General features: G+C 46.4%; 1 protein-coding gene across 5 annotated transcripts in view, besides 1 other annotated feature; it reads left to right on the forward strand.

Annotated features, from left to right (window-relative positions):
* The window catches only part of BRPF3 (bromodomain and PHD finger containing 3), a 36,047-nt gene extending 24,259 nt beyond the window's left edge, over positions 1-11,788 (forward strand). For 2 of the 5 annotated variants that reach the window (NM_015695.3, XM_047418649.1), the window contains exons 10-13: positions 1,166-1,263; positions 4,265-4,362; positions 7,900-8,054; positions 9,424-11,788. In NM_015695.3, coding sequence (NP_056510.2) covers positions 1,166-1,263; positions 4,265-4,362; positions 7,900-8,054; positions 9,424-9,607 — 535 coding nt within the window. In that variant the 3' untranslated portion in view covers positions 9,608-11,788. Of the gene's footprint in view, positions 1-1,165; positions 1,264-4,264; positions 4,363-7,899; positions 8,055-8,856 lie in introns of all 5 variants that reach the window. The other 3 variants (XM_011514490.2, XM_011514491.2, XM_047418650.1) reach the window with 3 other exon arrangements.
* Positions 14,448-14,993: an enhancer, noted in NCBI's record as "H3K4me1 hESC enhancer chr6:36203227-36203772 (GRCh37/hg19 assembly coordinates)". NCBI's record gives its function as "activates a minimal SCP1, AML or CMV promoter by ChIP-STARR-seq in primed H9 embryonic stem cells {active_cell/tissue: H9 hESC(primed)}" and the evidence as "EXISTENCE:reporter gene assay evidence [ECO:0000049][PMID:30033119]".

Genomic DNA, 16,650 nt, shown 5'->3' on the forward strand with positions numbered 1-16,650 from the left:
AGCATTTTTTAGTGAGAAAATTTAAAGTTATATAGGAGTAATATTATTTTTTGAAGTTTGGATGGAAAAAAGTGCTAGCCATATCATTTTTGCCCAGAAGCTACGGTGTACATTAGAATTGTATGGGGAACAATTTGAAAATACTGATGATGCCCGGGTGGGCTTCAGTTGCAACATTGCTTTGGTATTGCCATTCTAATTTTTGCTTATCACTTTTTAGTCTTTGTGTAATATACATTTTGCCTCTTTGCAATAGTCATGAAACAAAAATTGGTCTACTTTTTTTTTTTTTTTTTTTTTTTTGAGATGGAGTCTTGCTCTGTCGCCAGGCTGGAGTGCAGTAGCATGATCTTGGGTCACTGCAACCTCCAACTCCCTGGTTCAAGTGATTCTCCTGCCTCAGCCTCCTGAGTAGCTGGGAGTACAGACACGTGCCACCACGGCCAGCTAATTTGTGTATTTTTAGTAGAGATGAGGTTTCACCATGTTGGCCAGGGTGGTCTCGATCTTCTGACCTCGTGATCTGCCCAGCTCAGCCTCCCAAAGTGTTGGGATTACAGGCGTGAGCCACCACACCCAGCCCACTTTTTACTTTAAAAAATCCACTTCTCTCTATCCAAGAAAAACTTCACACATAAACCATTTGGAAGTGAGAAGTGCATTTTTTTTTCCAATTTAAAAATGTCTTTTCTAATTAAGGAAGTATGACATGTCCACTTTAGAAAATTTGGCAAAGAGGCAAATTTTTGAATCTCAAAAATAAATTGGTTTCTAAAGAAAAGCGATGTGAACCAGAGCAAAGAATTCTGGGCAGATGTAAGATGGCCCCTGTCATGGCAAAGCTGCTTAGACGCTGGAAGGATTGACAAATGACTGGTGTGACCTTTCCTTTGGATGAAGTCCAAGGTTCCTGAGCAGGGAACTGAGCAACTCCTTCCAGGTTCAGTCCTTCCATGTAGATGAAATGGTTCCTCAAAACCTCATGGGAACTTTTCAGTCAAAAACATGGGTTAGTGTGAGTTTTTAGGGGAAGGTGAGAAACTGTCCTCCCTGAAGAGTTTTTGCAGCTCCACTCCTGTCAGAGAGGGGAGAGGGGAGAAGGGGAGTCGGCGTTTTAGTCATTGAAATTGCTCATTTCACCCCTCTCTCCCTGCTCTGTGTGCAGTGGTCTGACGCCCCCCAAACGCAGCCGTGGGAAGCCAGCCCTGTCTCGAGTGCCCTTCCTGGAAGGTGTGAACGGAGACTCTGACTACAATGGCTCAGGTGAGGAGCAGTGTTCAGGCAGAACTGAGGGGGCCAGGCCTTCTGAGGAGCCAGCTCTTCAGGCTGCTGCACTGCTGGGGCTCCGTACCAGGCAGCCAGTCCTTGAGCTCCCCCAAACTCTTGGGCCCTTGGGCAGGGAGATGGCACTCTCCCAGGCCAATCATACTCTTTTTTTTTTTTTAATTGCATCTTAAATTTGAATAGGTTGTACATGCCCATAGTAATAAAAATCAAAAAGGTACAAAAGAGTGTATAATGAAAGCTAGCACTCCCCTCCCTGGAACATCAACTGCTAGCATTTTCTTTTATATCTTTCCAGAGGTAATCCATATGTATACAAGCCAAAACTTGCATGAATAATTAAGAGAGTGAGTGGAGAAGCCTAATATGCACATGTTCCTCTAAACCATTCCTTTTTTTCCAGCTAATAATATATCTTGGAGATCCTTCTGTGCTTTTTATTGGCTTCCCAGTGTCCCATTATATAGGAATGCTATCATTTGCTTAGCCAGTCCTCTAAAAGATGGACGTTTAGATTGTTTTCATTTATTATCGTAACCAGTGTTGCAGTGAGCAACCTTATGCATAGATAATTTTATATCCATAGGGAGCCTATCTATAGAAGTGGAATTACTGAATTGAAGGAAGTGTGTGTTTGTAGTTTTCATGGATACTGCCTGTCCCCATTCACAAACGTTATCAGTGATAGCCTGTATCACTGAATCTCGCACATACATAACCCTGTAGTTTTATGGGCCTTGTCTCCTTGGATAAAAGGAATAAAGGGCAGGGCAGGACCTGGGGGAGAGGCCTGGGGTGGTGCTTAGGTGGGACAGGTGCAGAGCAGGCTGTTCTCTGAGCTCATCTCTGTCCAGCCCTGCTATACAGGGGTGTGTGCTCCCTGGATGCCCTGTCTTTGAAGTGTCCATCTAACACACAGGCTGCAGGGCTTCTCTTCCTTCGTTCCTTTACCCAACTGCTTTATTTTCCCTTAGCATCAGTTTCTTTCTCGTATGTGTGTTGATGAATGCATGCCTGTGTGTTTCATTGCTTTCTGTAACTGTCAGTTCCCAAAAGGTCAGGCTCATGTCTAAATGAATTTGTACAGCATCTCACACAAAGCCAGGAGTGGATTGGCACACTTTGTGCTTCTGGTGGTGACATCTTATTCTTACTTTTAAAACCACATGCTTACTAAAATTACGCCAAAGGATATTGACCTCCCATAGTTCCATCACTGTAACATGATTGTCTTCATTTTTCTGTGTTGCCTTCTGTTTATTTCAGGCACATTTTTAACAAAATGCTGACCCAAACACATGCACTTTTGTATTCTACTTTTTTCAATTTTTTTTTGTACTTTCTTCATGTTGACACATAATCTTTATATATCTCATATTATTGGAACAGTGTATCTAACAATGCATTATAATTTACTTAACCATTCTATTGTTAGGCATTTGGGTTGTTTCCGGCTTTTAGCATTATATGTAATGTAGTGAACCCATATTTTTGTTTAAAATCCTTTTATTCATCTTTAAAGTTATTTTTCTCAGAATAAATTCCCAGGGAAGGAATTTACTGGAACAGGTGGTTCATACATTTTTTAAATGGCTCTTCAGACATACTGCCAAATTACATTCCATAAGGATGGGTTTGGTCTGTAATTGCATCAGTAGTATGTGATTGCACCAGTTTCTACTCAGTCTACCTCTTTGGTATTGGATTTTATCTTTTTATTGTTACTGCTATTGATTCAATAGGTGCAAAATAGTATCTTATAATTTTAATACATTTTTAAAAATTACAAGTGGAGTTAAGCACAGTAGCTCATGCCTGTAATTCCAGCACTTTGGGAAGCCAAGGTGGGAGGGTTGCTTGAAGCCAGGAGTTTGAGACCAGCCTGGGCAACATAGTGAGATCCTATCTCTACAAAAAAATAAATAAATAAAATTTTTTAAAAAGTGAGGTAGTAATATTTCCTTAGAAATAACAATTTCCACCCTGTTAGATTTGGACTTTTTTCCTTGGTTGAGTGTGGTCACCTGCCCATTCCAGTGTATAGATGTGGGGAGGGAAAGAGTGGTTCTTCTGTGTGTTCAGAAGCATCTGTGAAGCACTCATTCACATGTGTTAGTGCGTTGAGTGCAGAGCAAAGTAAGATGAAAGGATGCAGTGCCTGCTCCAGGGATACCCAGTCTCATTTCTGACAAAAGAAGGCATGTGAAGGACTTGCAGACTGCTTAGCTCTGCTGAGTGCCGTGCATCCAGGTGTCCTAGATGGCTAGGTGTGACCCTGTCAGAAAATAACTCAGTTAGCAAGTAATTTTACCAGGATGTCTTCCCTGGCATCTTTGTCCATGAAGCCTCCATCATGAGGACTCCGCACTCAGGGAGGCCCAGAGAGCAGTATGTGGCATTGCCCAAGCTGGATTATGGCCCTTCTCCCTAAGGCCATGAGGATGAAGCAGTTAACATTTTTCCAGGGAAAGCTGTCTTAGGGTTCTAGTTCAGAGGTCGGTAAACTATGGCCTGTAGCCTATTTTTGTATGGTCCATGGGCCAAAAATGGTTTTTACATTTTGAAATGATTGAAAAGAAAATCAAAAGAAGAATGATATTTCATAACATGAAAATTACATGAAATTCAAATTTCAGTGTCCAAAAAATAAAGTTTTATTGGGACATAGCCATGCTCATTCATTTATAGATTGTGTGTGTGGCTGCTTTCATGCTATAACAACAGCAGTGTTGAGTAATTGCAACAGAGGCCGTGTTGCCCACAGAAGCTAAAATATTTACTATTTGGCCCTTTACAGAACTAGTTTGCTGACCCCTGATCCAGTCTAACTTCTAAGGAAAGGAGAGGGAAAAGGAAGGGTGGAGGGGATGTTGTGACTCATTCCTGGGTTGCCCCAGTCAAGTGGAGGCCACAGGCAGGCCTTTTGGGCACCATTCCAAGTCCCCTTTGGGTGCTGTCTCCTCCCCTCCCCCACCCCCAGGCAGAAGCCTCCTGCTGCCCTTTGAAGACCGCGGAGACCTGGAGCCCTTGGAGCTGGTGTGGGCCAAGTGCCGAGGCTACCCCTCCTACCCTGCCTTGGTGAGTCTGCCCCAGACGCCACCCTCCTATCTCCCCTGCCTTGCCTTGGGGGCTAATCTGATTGGATTAAGCCAGCAGAGTGTGGTGGGAGTCAGAGTGTCTTTAGCTGTAGAGGGGAGGGGGGTTTTGCCCCAGCCTGAGTGGGTCAAACTAGCAAGGCTCCCAGCTTGGAGCACTAAAAATAGGCTAAAAGTATGCAGATCAAGGCCAGGGTTCTTAGAGTTTTAATAGCATTTATTTATTTCCTTATGCATAAAAGTAACAGGGCCCATTTTAGAGAATCTTTAAAGCTACTGATAATGCTTAGACGTTTTATTAAATATTTGTCATGCTAAGTCCTTGAAATACTGAGGAAAGTATGATTATTACATTTTGTAAGAAGAAAACTGATGATTTGTGGTCATTCAGCTAATAAATGACAGGGTTGGAATTTGAGCCCAGGGCTTAAAATGTGTGATGTCAAAGCCTGTGTTCTGAGCCACTGAGTTCAAAATCATCCACAGTCCTGCAGGGATAACTTGGGGTGTATATCCACTTACTCTTTTACAAAAAATGTATAAATATGCATATATATGAGACCATATTGCTTTTAGCCTCCCTTTCACTTAACAGCATATCATGAACATGCACATCTTATGCCATTAAACATTCTTCATCAACATCACTTTTAATGATTGCATCGTCTTCAGTTGTATGCATGTACCATATTTTAACCATTCCCTAGTTGGTCACTTACATTGTTTTGAATTTTTCACTATGATAAACAGTTGGCAATAAACATCATTGTAGTTTTACCCTTGTGCACATCCATGATTATTTCCTTACAGTGAATTCTTAGGAGTCCCTTCTTGGGGCAAAGTCTATGCAGAATTCTGATACAAGTTGCCAAGTTGCTGGAAGTTCATTTTGGTTTATACTCACACCAGCAGTAACTAAACTTTTCATTTCTGTCATAGTAGTAGCAGTTAAAAATTCAATTTTTACCACCTTGATTGTTATTTCTGAACTCTTTCTCAGTTGGGGAGGTAGTGTCCACCTAGCTCTGGAAGATACCACTGATACTAAACCTTTGGGGCATGTCAGAATAATCTGTGGAAATTTTTAAAACAATACCCATATCAAGTCACCTCCACCCCAGCGCTATCAAATTAGACTCTCTGAGGCCAGACTGAGGCATCAATATTTTTTAGAAAACATCCTAGATGATCTGTAGCCAGGGTTGGGAACCACCCCACCAGCCTCTTACATGTATACAGGACTCTGGGTTTCTCCTAGCCCCTTCATATCTGCAACTTTTAACAGCAGCCTTTTAAGATAAGGAGAGGAGGAATTCTGATCCTGTTTGGTCAGATAAGGAAATTATAGCTCAAAGAGGTTGTATTAATACAGTTTGTTGGAACCATATTGGAAACCATGTTGCCTACTCTACTCCCTCCTTAGCAGTAGCAGGTGGGGAAAATCCATACTGTGACCTAGCAGCTGAAGAGTTAGGGCCTGGGGCTGCCTGCCTTCACAGGGCTCTCTGCCCTGCCAGCGGTGAAACCGCAGGACTCCCAGCTCAGTCATTAAAGAAGTGATTAAGCTGTGCAGGTTTGGATTTAAAAAACAAACAGACAGAATACCTCACAATGCAAAAAAACTAGTCTAAAACTCGTCTTTTTTTTAATTACCCTCTTAATTATACATTTTGTCATGATTAAAGAAATTCAGCCACCACCTGAACACAACCTGTGTTTTTATTTTGGTGTATGCTCTCCTAGTCTTTTTCCTATGCATTCTTCAGTATGTATTTGCATCCATAAATAGTGGATATAAAGTTTTTAATTTTTTCTGGCTCTTGTCTTTTTTTTCTTGTCTTTTAAACATTTTTTCTTGTTTTTGTTTTTGTTTTTGTTTGTAAGAGTAATATACTGCATTATAGAAGTTTGGAAAAATAGAGGCGAAAAAACACAAACCCCACCATTCTAATGTTGACTCCAAGCATTTTGTATCGTTCTATTTATTGTTCGCATATTCATATTATAGTTGTAATAATAGTGTATGTACACATATGTTAAGTTTTATCACAAACTTTGTTACCATGTTGTTTTACATTTGCATAGTATTCATTGAATGAATGGACCATTTATTATTTTGGGACACAAAAGCTGTCCTCAGTTGGCAGACTTACCCACCTTGCTTTTGCCCTCAGGGGAAATTTTTCACAATCTACCCTCTGCAAGCACCCTGGGTTCCAAGGCAGGAACCAGCATGCCTTAGTCAAGAGGAAACATATCAGAGTAGCCTCACTGTCTTGTTTGGTAATCAAGGAAGCTTACAAGGGCTTGTATGGTGGTTCTCCTTAAGACCCTTTACTTCAATCCCAGGAGGGACAGACAGGCTGGGAGAGAGAGTTTTGATCAAATTACACACCTGGTGGGTGGGGTAAGGTGGTTCTTCCTTAGAGTAAACTCCTAACCAGAACAGCTGCTTTCAGCTGCTTATCTTGAGAGGGATGTAGTGAAATTGGCAGACAAGCAAAGGTAAATAATGAGAGCAGTTTATTGTAAGAAGGGGCCCACTGGGACAGCGTATAGGAAGTAAGATTGCTCTGTCTCTGGAGAAGGCTGCTTCCTCAGTAAGTTCCTAGTCTTTGCTCCCAGAGCTATTAGCTGTCTGCTCTGGAAGCAGGGGCTGTGTAGGAGGCAGTGGGCTGTGGAGGCCCAAGCCTTGTTTGGTTTTAGTACCAATGTGGTTTTAGCCAGCTACATTCTGCTTCTGTGCTTGGTGTTTTCCTCTTGTCAGCTAACACCTGTTAGCAGACTTCTCAGCATCAGCAAGAGATTGAAATGAGATGATGTGTGAATAATTAGGAGCTTTGGAAACTTTGAAAGTGCTCCCTAGACCTGGATTTTGATTGTTGTGTTGATGCTGCCAGGCATTTTGCTGAGCACCTGCCGTCTCTGAGCCAGGCAAGGTGGGGCTGGATGCCAGAAGCAAACCTGAAGGAGAAGGGCCCAGCTGCTGCCCTTGTGGAGCTTATTGCCTCAAGGATTAATGCCTCCAGTGGCCCTTGTTTCCACCCACATCATACCCCCCTCTCCATCAACCTCCAAGCTCATTCTCTAGCTATACACTGAGCCTCCTCTCTGATCTTACCATGGAGGTGTCACAAATATATCTGGTCCATGTATCAGGAAGGATTGTAGTCAGACAGGAAGGTAGTGGGTAACCAGAGACCTCGTTAGAACCAACTGGATGGCCTTCCCGATGCAAAGCCTTCTTCATAGCCGTGGTACCTAGGGAAGGCCCCCAAACATTTGAGGTGAATTGCAAAGGTACTAAGGGGAAATTGACAGGAAAAAAAAAGTGACCTCTACTCTTCTGTCCTAAGGGACATTGGAGGAAGGGGTTTGCCTGTCTGGTCTGGACATCAAAGATATCCCACTCAGGCCTGATACTCCCCTGGTGTGGGTGCTTCAGCAGTTGGTCCTGCAGCAGGGGCACTGCTCACCCTGGCCTCCCTCACTGAGTGCCCATCTTCTATTCTGCCTCCAGATCATCGATCCCAAGATGCCCCGGGAGGGCCTCCTGCACAATGGCGTTCCCATCCCTGTCCCCCCGCTGGACGTGCTGAAGCTGGGAGAGCAGAAACAGGCAGAGGCTGGAGAGAAGCTCTTCCTTGTCCTCTTCTTTGACAACAAGCGCACCTGGTTAGTGGGTGCTGCTGTGAGGGGGCTGAGGGGCACGCCAGGGGTCTGTGCCAGTGGTGCTGTGCTAGTGAGGTGTACAGAGGGGCCATGGATGTTACCAGTTACCCTGGTCTCCACTTGCCAGCAACAGGCCTGCACTTGGCATGTTAATAGTAACTGAGGGGTGTTGCAGATCAGATTCCCTGGGAAACACTCTGAGGTCGAGACTTGCATCAGGAGGCTATTGAGGAGAGCTGTGGGGCGGGAGCGATGCAGCACTGGGCAGAAGTTGAACTACAGCCCACTTGCTGCCTCAGCTCATCCACTGGGCACATCTGGAGCTGGGTGGCTCAACAAGATAAGAGATGTCAGGAATTGGGCCTGTGCCTTTTTGCCCTGTGCCAACTAGTTATTCAATGCCACTGCCCTGAGGGAGGGGTGTGGCCTGGGCCTGAGGCTTCCATGGTGGAGAGTGATTCCTAGAGAGGGACTCAGATGAGAGCCTGTGAGCTTCCAGCACTTCCAGTAGCTTCTGGGAAGCATGTTTCCGTCCTGAGGGGGGTTCTGGCCAGTGCAGTGTCCGCTACAGGAGACTTGCTCATTTATGGTTTACAACACTTAAGGTTTCTCTTAGCACCAACAAGAGAGTGCTTTCACCTTAGCTTCTATAGAGTGAGGAGGGAGAACTAGCTAATAAAAACAGTGATAATAGTAGCTGCCATTGAGTGCTTACTCCATGTCCTTATGCAGATTGCTTTATATATCTGATCTCTTTTAATCCTCATTTAAGTCTTCATTAATCCCCTCATAATCCATTTTGCAGATGAGGAAGTTGAGGCTCAGAAAGTCCAGACCCTGTAGCCAGAACTAAGATACAAAACAAGATCTTGCTCCAAAGGCTGTATCCTTAGCCACATGTTATATTCACCCGGGGAGCTTTAAAAACACATACACAGTGTGCAGGTCCCACCACAGATGAGTTTATCAGTTCCTGGCATCAGCTCTACTTCCTAGCCATCGCCCCCTAATTCTCCAACGCAAGGCGAGGCTCAGAGCCCTCCAGGGTGGCTCAGCTGGCCCCAGAGGGCAGCAGGTGGGCCTTTCTTAGCCTATGGACCCTTACAACTCTCCAAACAGAGTAAGGGCCCAGAGAAGGACCTAGCTGCAAAATTGATTCCATGCCATTCCCCCACCCGACTCCTGCATATCCTGCTTGCTGTCCTCACCTGCTAGGTTCTTGGTGGCCTCCTGCATGGAGTCCCCCAATTTGCTTCCCTCTGCCCTGTACCCTCTCCCTGGCTTTGCTGGTCCTGGCCAAGTGGGGCCACAGGAGCCCGAGCCCCCTGTGAGACCCACTACTGCCCAGCCTCTTACTGTGCTTGCATTTCAGGCAGTGGCTTCCAAGGGACAAAGTCCTGCCCTTGGGTGTGGAAGACACCGTGGACAAGCTCAAGATGCTGGAAGGCCGCAAGACCAGCATCCGCAAGTCAGTGCAGGTGGCCTATGACCGTGCGATGATCCACCTGAGCAGAGTCCGGGGGCCCCACTCCTTCGTCACTTCCAGCTACCTGTAAGGGCAGGGCTGGGCCTGCATCCGCTTGCCCTGCCTCCATCCCGCAGGGCACAGAGAAGCCTCTTCTGCCCCTGCCAGATGTATGGCCGGCAGCTTCCCCCTCTCATGGTAGGCCAGGGACTGGGCTTTCTCCCCACTAAGGGCAAGGCCCCAGTTTTGACCAATCGCATGGTTCTCCTGGCAGGCCTGCTGTGTGCCAAAAACTCCCACCCAAGGTCCCTCAGGGGATATTTCACTGAAGAACCAGTTAGAAGTAGAAACAGCTGTGGGGCTTGGGCCCAGCTTAGGAGATTGCCCAGATGGCAAGAGGTCCTGGGCTCCTTCTTGAGGGGCTGCCTGGCCCGCTCCATCCTACTCCCACTAACTACACCTCAGGGCGGGTGAGGTTCCGACACTGATCCCAGAGATGCCGTGGATACGCCAGGGTCCCAGGGGGAATCTCCCCAAGCTCACACTCTCTCCCGCTTATCGCCTATTCTCACACCTCTTCTCGGTCCCATCTTCTGCACCCATTGCCCAGTCTTGCTTTCTCTTTCCCATATTCCTTTTCTTTTTCTCTTGTGCCAAACTGACAGAAACCGTCACCACACTGGTCTTTTTCTTTAATGTCTCATTCCCCTTGAGGCCAGCTGCTATGCCAGGTGGTGTCTCTGCCAGGCTCCTCAGGCCCAGACAGAGGCCAGCCCACAACCTATGACCCCCTCCCCCAGGACACCACCTCCCACCCACAGACCTTCCCTTTAGCTGTTGACACAACTTCCCAGCTCTGCAAGTGTGCCCCCTGGATCAAGGCGGGTCCCCTCTTGTTTTTTTCTTTGCTGCCACGAGGTGGTCCAAGCCTTCAGGGTGGGCTCCTATCAGGCTGGGTGTGCGAGTGTCCATCTGTCCACATGGATGTCGAGGGTGGTTTGTGTGGAGCTGTGCTCGTCAGCTGGGTCTGCCCTCTTCCCCCTTTTCTCCTTCTTCTCTCCTCATGGACTTTTTCTGCAATTGCAGTCTTAAGCTTCACTCTCCACCACCTGGATGGCATGGCGCCTGCCACCAAACATCTTCCTGGCCTGCGCTCTGCCCTGCCCTGCCTAGCCTCTGCTACTCCCACTTCCCAACTCCAGGGAATGCATTACTTTTATTTCAAACCCTCTGCCTCCTTCCTTCTTTCTCTTCAACCCCCTCCCCACCTTCACCTTCTCAAAAATGGAAGGAAAAAAAAACTGTGAATGGGGAATGCTGACTGACAAACCAACACAACTTTCAGAGGCTTCAGTGTCTGTTCTCTGGACATTTCTTTTCACCTCCTGAGCACCAAAGTCGCAGGGCCAGTTGCAGGCCGCTGATTGCCATGTTGATTTTTAACCTGATATTCTTTTTAATTGTTTTAAATTTTTCATAGGGGAGTTTTGGACAAAACAGTCACTGGGGAGATCACTGCCATTTTTACACACTTGACTTTTTAAAAATACAACCAACCAACCACCACAACTTCTTATACATTTGGGACATGAGCCAGAGTTTAAAAGGGAACCAACAAAACACTATAACTTAAAAGGATGGGGTTTTGGATTTTGTATAATAATAAAAACAATACAGCATATGGCTAGGGAAGGACATGGTGTATATAATTGTAAAATACTGTTCTAAATTATTCAGGCCTATAGTTTCCATTACTGGAGTCCTCCATTGTGTGGCCACACAGTGTCGTTGATTTAAAGGAGCCAGTGCTTCCCCTCTCCCCAGGTAGTTGGTCAGCTGTGGACTCTGTGACCTTTGTCTAAACCTGTGTTGTAAGATCTTGGGACTTCCTCTCTTTCTATGTCTATCTCTTCCCCCCAACACTTTCTCTTCTTAGTCTCTCTCTTTATTTTTCAATCTCTGAATATTTTAGTCTCTCTCTGAGTCTCATTTTTTAAAATGCTCTTTTAGAACGGGAAACGGCTCAGATCCTGCTGTGGCACGGGGCCTATGTGTCTCTGTCGCGTCTGCTGTGAAGCACATGATGCTCTATTTATTGTAGAGAGTGACTTTATTTGCTTTCTAGAATTGTTTATAACAGATGGTATAAGAGAGGTAATAAACAGAGAAAAATCTATGCTTGTAAAGAATACAAAAGTTAATTTTACCTACTATAATATGACTGTCTGAAACTTATTTTCTCTCTGAGAAATAAATGTTCTAATGGGCAGTAGTTGCTGTGTTGTGTTTAATCAGTAGGGGCCTACCCCTGTCTTCCCATTCCCTACAGCCTCCTCCTCAACAGGCCAGGACCATTAAGAAAGTTTCCTAGCTAGCGAGGGCTGTATCTTTCTTTTTTTTTTTTTCTTTTGAGACAGCGTCTCTGTTGCCCAGGCTGGAGTGTAGTGGCATGATCATAGCTCACTGCAGCCTCGATTTCCTGGGCTCAAGAGATCCTCCTACCTCATCCTCCCCAGTAGCTGGGACTACAGGCACGTGCCACCATGGCCAGCTGTTTTTTTGTTGTTGTTGCCCAGGCTGGCCTCAAACTCCTGGACTCAAGCAATCCTCCCGCCTTGGCCTCCCAAAGTGCTAGGATTACAAGTGGGAGCCACCATGCCCAGCTTCTGTCTATCTCTTGGACCCCTAGGAGCAGTGTGAGGATGTTCTCTGACTTTGCTTCCCTCCCGGACAGCGCTGGCACCTTCTGGGAGCTGTTGGAAGGTCCATCCTACCTTCCCATGCCTCGCCTTCCCTGTGGCCATGTTCCTTTAGGAGCCTCTGCTCCTCATTCAGAAGGAGAGTGACCCTTTGGACACACCTGACTTACCAAGCTTGCTGAACTTGAGACTCAAGGATGCTCACACCTCTTATGTCACTGCTGCTGTTTTAATTCTGTAGATGGGTAGCTGGGACACACACAGGGGAATATAGGCCTCACTCCTCTTAAAGCTGGAAGGCATCCTTAAGCCTACCTGGTCTTCATTTTACAGACAAGGAAACAGACCAGCAAAATTAAAAGACCAAGGTCAGCCAACTAAGAAACTGTGGCATAATTCTGAGACAAGGATCTGGCCAAGGCTTTGTTTATGGGCTCCACAGCATTTCAAGACTCCACTGGCCTATTCTGTATCGTGTTCCTCTCTCAGTGGCTGTGGCTCTGGCATTTCTGGATAGGAATGTCCTGAAGAGCAGAAGCAGAGGGGAGTTCCCAGAGACAAACTGCTTGGTTGCTGGGCATAGAATAGCTTTTCCCCTGTCCCTACTCCTATCCCATTCTGGTCCTACCTGGCTCCTATGCTTGTCTCGGTGTGGCTGAGGACTCGGGTCTCTTGATCACTTCCTCCACGGGGCCTTTGACAGCCTTGTCATTGAAGTCAAAAAAGTGTCAAAGTTCTCATTTTGGCCTAACACTGACAAAGTACTGCCAATGTGCTGATAATCCTTGTATTACGTGTTGGGGCTGCAAAGACACACACCCCTGGTCTCAAGACACTCACAACCTGATTTATAAGATACATCTCACATAACGCCGCATAAGGCCAGTGTGAGGGTCCCAGATATGTGGAGGCGTTTGGGAGAGACATGTTTGGTTGGGGAGTAATGAAAGCCTTCAGAAGCAGCAATTAATTCAAGCCTTGACAAATGGGGTTAGGAAAGACTTTATTTATGAATTGTAAGTTGAATTACAAAGACGTTTGCAAAATATTTACAAAATATTTAGGGTGAAATTACAAGCTCATTCTATAAACCATTTTAGAAATAAAAGTGGCCAGATGGGTAGGATTTTAGCAGGCGAGGCTAAGAAGAGGAGACAAAGTCATGGCTCAGAAAGAGATTGTGCATATTCCAGCTCCAGTGACTAGCTGACCTCCCACGTGACTGGAACCCACCGAGGTGGCGAGCAGTATATCGGGCTTAAAAGCCCTGTCACTGTCACTCACTCTGTGACCCTGGGCCTCTCTGAGACTGACGTAATAAAGGATCCCAAAGACAGGGCAAGGTGGGTGCCATTCATATATGGCAGGTAGCAGCATCCATTGAAAGATTTGAACAGGGCAGAGACTTGATTGGAGCTTGGCAACTAACTAAACATCAAAGTTAAAAAGCAAGAGTGTTAAGACAGGATGCTGGGTGGCTGCTGGAGGGATCGCTGTGGGTTTTGAAGGGAGGAGAAAGTGTAGGTTTTTTGATGAGTTTGTGTTGTCTATGGGACATCTAAGAAAAACCTCCAGCAAACAGATGGGAGTTGAGCCCAGAATTCAGGAGAAAGATGGGAGCAGATGACAGAGATGTGGGCACAGTGGAGCCCACCTAGGCAGTTAGAAGAATGGCCAAGGACAGCAAGGAAGGCGAAGGACAGACATGAGGAAAGCCCCTTACACTTAGAGTCTGGGGTTGGGGGAAAGGGGGAGACAGCACCTTTTGAGGGGTCTGTTCTCCAGGGAGGGCCTCACAGGGAATGTCAAGCCCTCATGCCACAGATGGAGGAGAAAGGCAGGTCAGATGTGCTTAGCATCACAAGGCAGGAAAAGGCAGGGCTGGACCAGAACTCAGCACCCACTCAGCCCTTTCTGCTCTCCACGGACTTATATATTACCCAAAGTAGGCAAAAGTGTCCTTAATAAATTTTATCAATGATGTGACTGAAATTCATGAACTCAAGTCTAAAATGATACTGTAATATTGGGACATGTGTTGGAGACACTCTGACTCTCGGAATAGAGAATCCCATTCTCCTAACAAGTTAAAAAATATCATTGAAAGCATTTGCCAAAATCCCTTGTCAGCTTGGCTGCTTCCATTAATATATTAGATGCCATTAGCACCTGAGTGTGAATGTGCCAGTGCGTCAGATGGGCTCTCCTGACCTGGCTAGGCTCTGAGTTTCACTTTTAGAGAAGAGGTGGGGCTAGTGGCAAGACTGCCAGGCTCGGAGTAGTGCTGAAGGAGAGAGGGAGGGTGTGGGCCTTGACTACCCTGAGTCTGCAGGCCTCCCACAGTGTCTGCAGTCGGGCAATGAGTGTGCAGGTCTCTGGTCCTGCTGGCTGCAGCCTTCTGGCCTCTACTGAAGCTGGGATGAGGGAAGGAGGTCTTTGGAGGAGGGAAGTGGTTTCTCCAAAAGGTGGGGCAGAAGTTTCTTACTCTGTGATGAGGAAGAAGGGCCAGGGAGATACGTGCTGGGCTAGAGCTGGAGAGGAGTGCTGGATCCACCCTGGTGATACGAGAGAAGGGCAGGGAAGTGCTGGGTAGAGAAGAATGGGGTCCCTGGTGAGGGCTTCACCCTCAGGCCTGGTCCACGGACCTAGGTGAGGACAGGCACCCTTGTTTTTGAGCCCAAATGTTGCATTTTCCAAGACCACTCTGGCCCGCCACGCCCCTGATCCTGGGCCCGTAAAAACCCCGAGACCCTAGCGGGCACACACACACAGCCGGCTGGAAGTCCAGAGAAGCAGAACACACCGAAAGGCACCAACAGATGCCGACAGGCTATCGACGACGCCACGATGACGTGAAATTTGGCACAGCGCGGTCGGAGTCCAGCTGCCGGGCAGCCCAATTCCAGGTGAAGACCACCTTCCCACTCCATCCTCCTTCTGGCCTCCCCATTCACCTCACTGAGAGCTACCTCCACTCAATAAAACCTTGCACCCATCCTCCAAGCCCACATGTGATCCTATTTTTCTGGTACACCAAGGCAAGAACCCAGGATACAGAAAGCCCTCTGTCCTTGTGATAAGGCAGAGGGCCTAATTAAGCTGATTAACACAAGCTGTCTGCGGATGGCTAAACTAGAAGAGCATAATGTAACACACACCCACTGGGGCTTGGGGAGCTGTAAACACTCAAACCTTAGACGCTGCAGTGGGGTCGGAGCCCACACTCCCCATGACCTGCCTGTCTGCATGCTCCCGCTAGGGGTTTGAGCTATGGGGTACCAAAGAAGTGAGCCACACCCCCATTGCATGCCCAGCGAGGGGGATAAGAGAACTTTTCCCATTTCACTGGCACCTGGGGTGACCTTCTGTCTGCCCTTTCCCTTCGAGGGTGGCAGAAGGTAATTGGGGATAGACGAAAAACGTCCGTGTGTGTGTGTGTGTGTGTGTGTGTACATATACATAAGTATTCTCTTCAACTTTAATAGGGCCAGGACTCACGGGCTACATGCAGTCAAACACTCTACTACTGAGCTCTACCCCCATCACAGGCTACATAGAGTCAAAAAAGCTAGTTGTCCCCAAATTTCAGAAGGGCCGTGGTGCTGTTTCTGAGAACATTTTATGTCCTTTGCTTGACACCTGTAAGGCTGGTTGGAAGAGGGTGGATTCAGTTGAACTCCTGAAGCCGTGTCTCAATCCCTTCCTCTTCCTTTCTGCCTAGTATTCGTCCGTTTGGGGGATAGAGAAGCCATACTGGGGATGCGACGTTGATGGTTCCTCATGGGCAGGGAGTATCACATAAGGGTCCAGGGGTGGGCTCCTTCCCTTCAGCTTCACAGTCCAGAGTGACGCCTGAAGGAGATTTTATCTAAGCTGGTCAGGAAAGATTATAAAATCCGTGGGGGTTTTTTGTATGTAATATGGGAAAATTTTTAAGTGCAAAGAAATTAAGAACTACCCTTTTTCTGACCACACAGAAACTACCATTTTAATGTAATTCCTTATAGTCTCTTGTTTTTTCTAGGTAGAGCATGTATTTTAGTTTCTTGTACTAGGTAGTTGAGTAGTCTGTTACCTCTCTGACATCACTGCGGAAATTCATGGTACGACTGGGATGCAAGTCCTCCCCACGCCTCCTCAGCCTAAGTCTGGCTTTTTCTCACTTGCTGTTGTTCATGGACTGGCCTAAACCAAGCATTGCCTGTTAGTTCCTCTGTTTTGTTAAAATACTGATAGTCTCCATAGCATTTGAAATTAGATGGGAGCTATATATCTTCCTCCCAACAACTTTGCTCTCTTGGGTAAATTTCCATGGAATTCAGTCCTAGACCAAATTCTGCCCCATGTACAAACATCTAATGAGTGAGGAAGCCACCATATGGCCATATAATTCTCCTCTTGATTGAGAAGTTCCCACCTCTGCTTTTGGGTACAG

The sequence above is a fragment of the Homo sapiens genome, chromosome 6 (genome assembly GCF_000001405.40).
Source record: "Homo sapiens chromosome 6, GRCh38.p14 Primary Assembly".
NCBI lineage: Eukaryota > Metazoa > Chordata > Mammalia > Primates > Hominidae > Homo > Homo sapiens.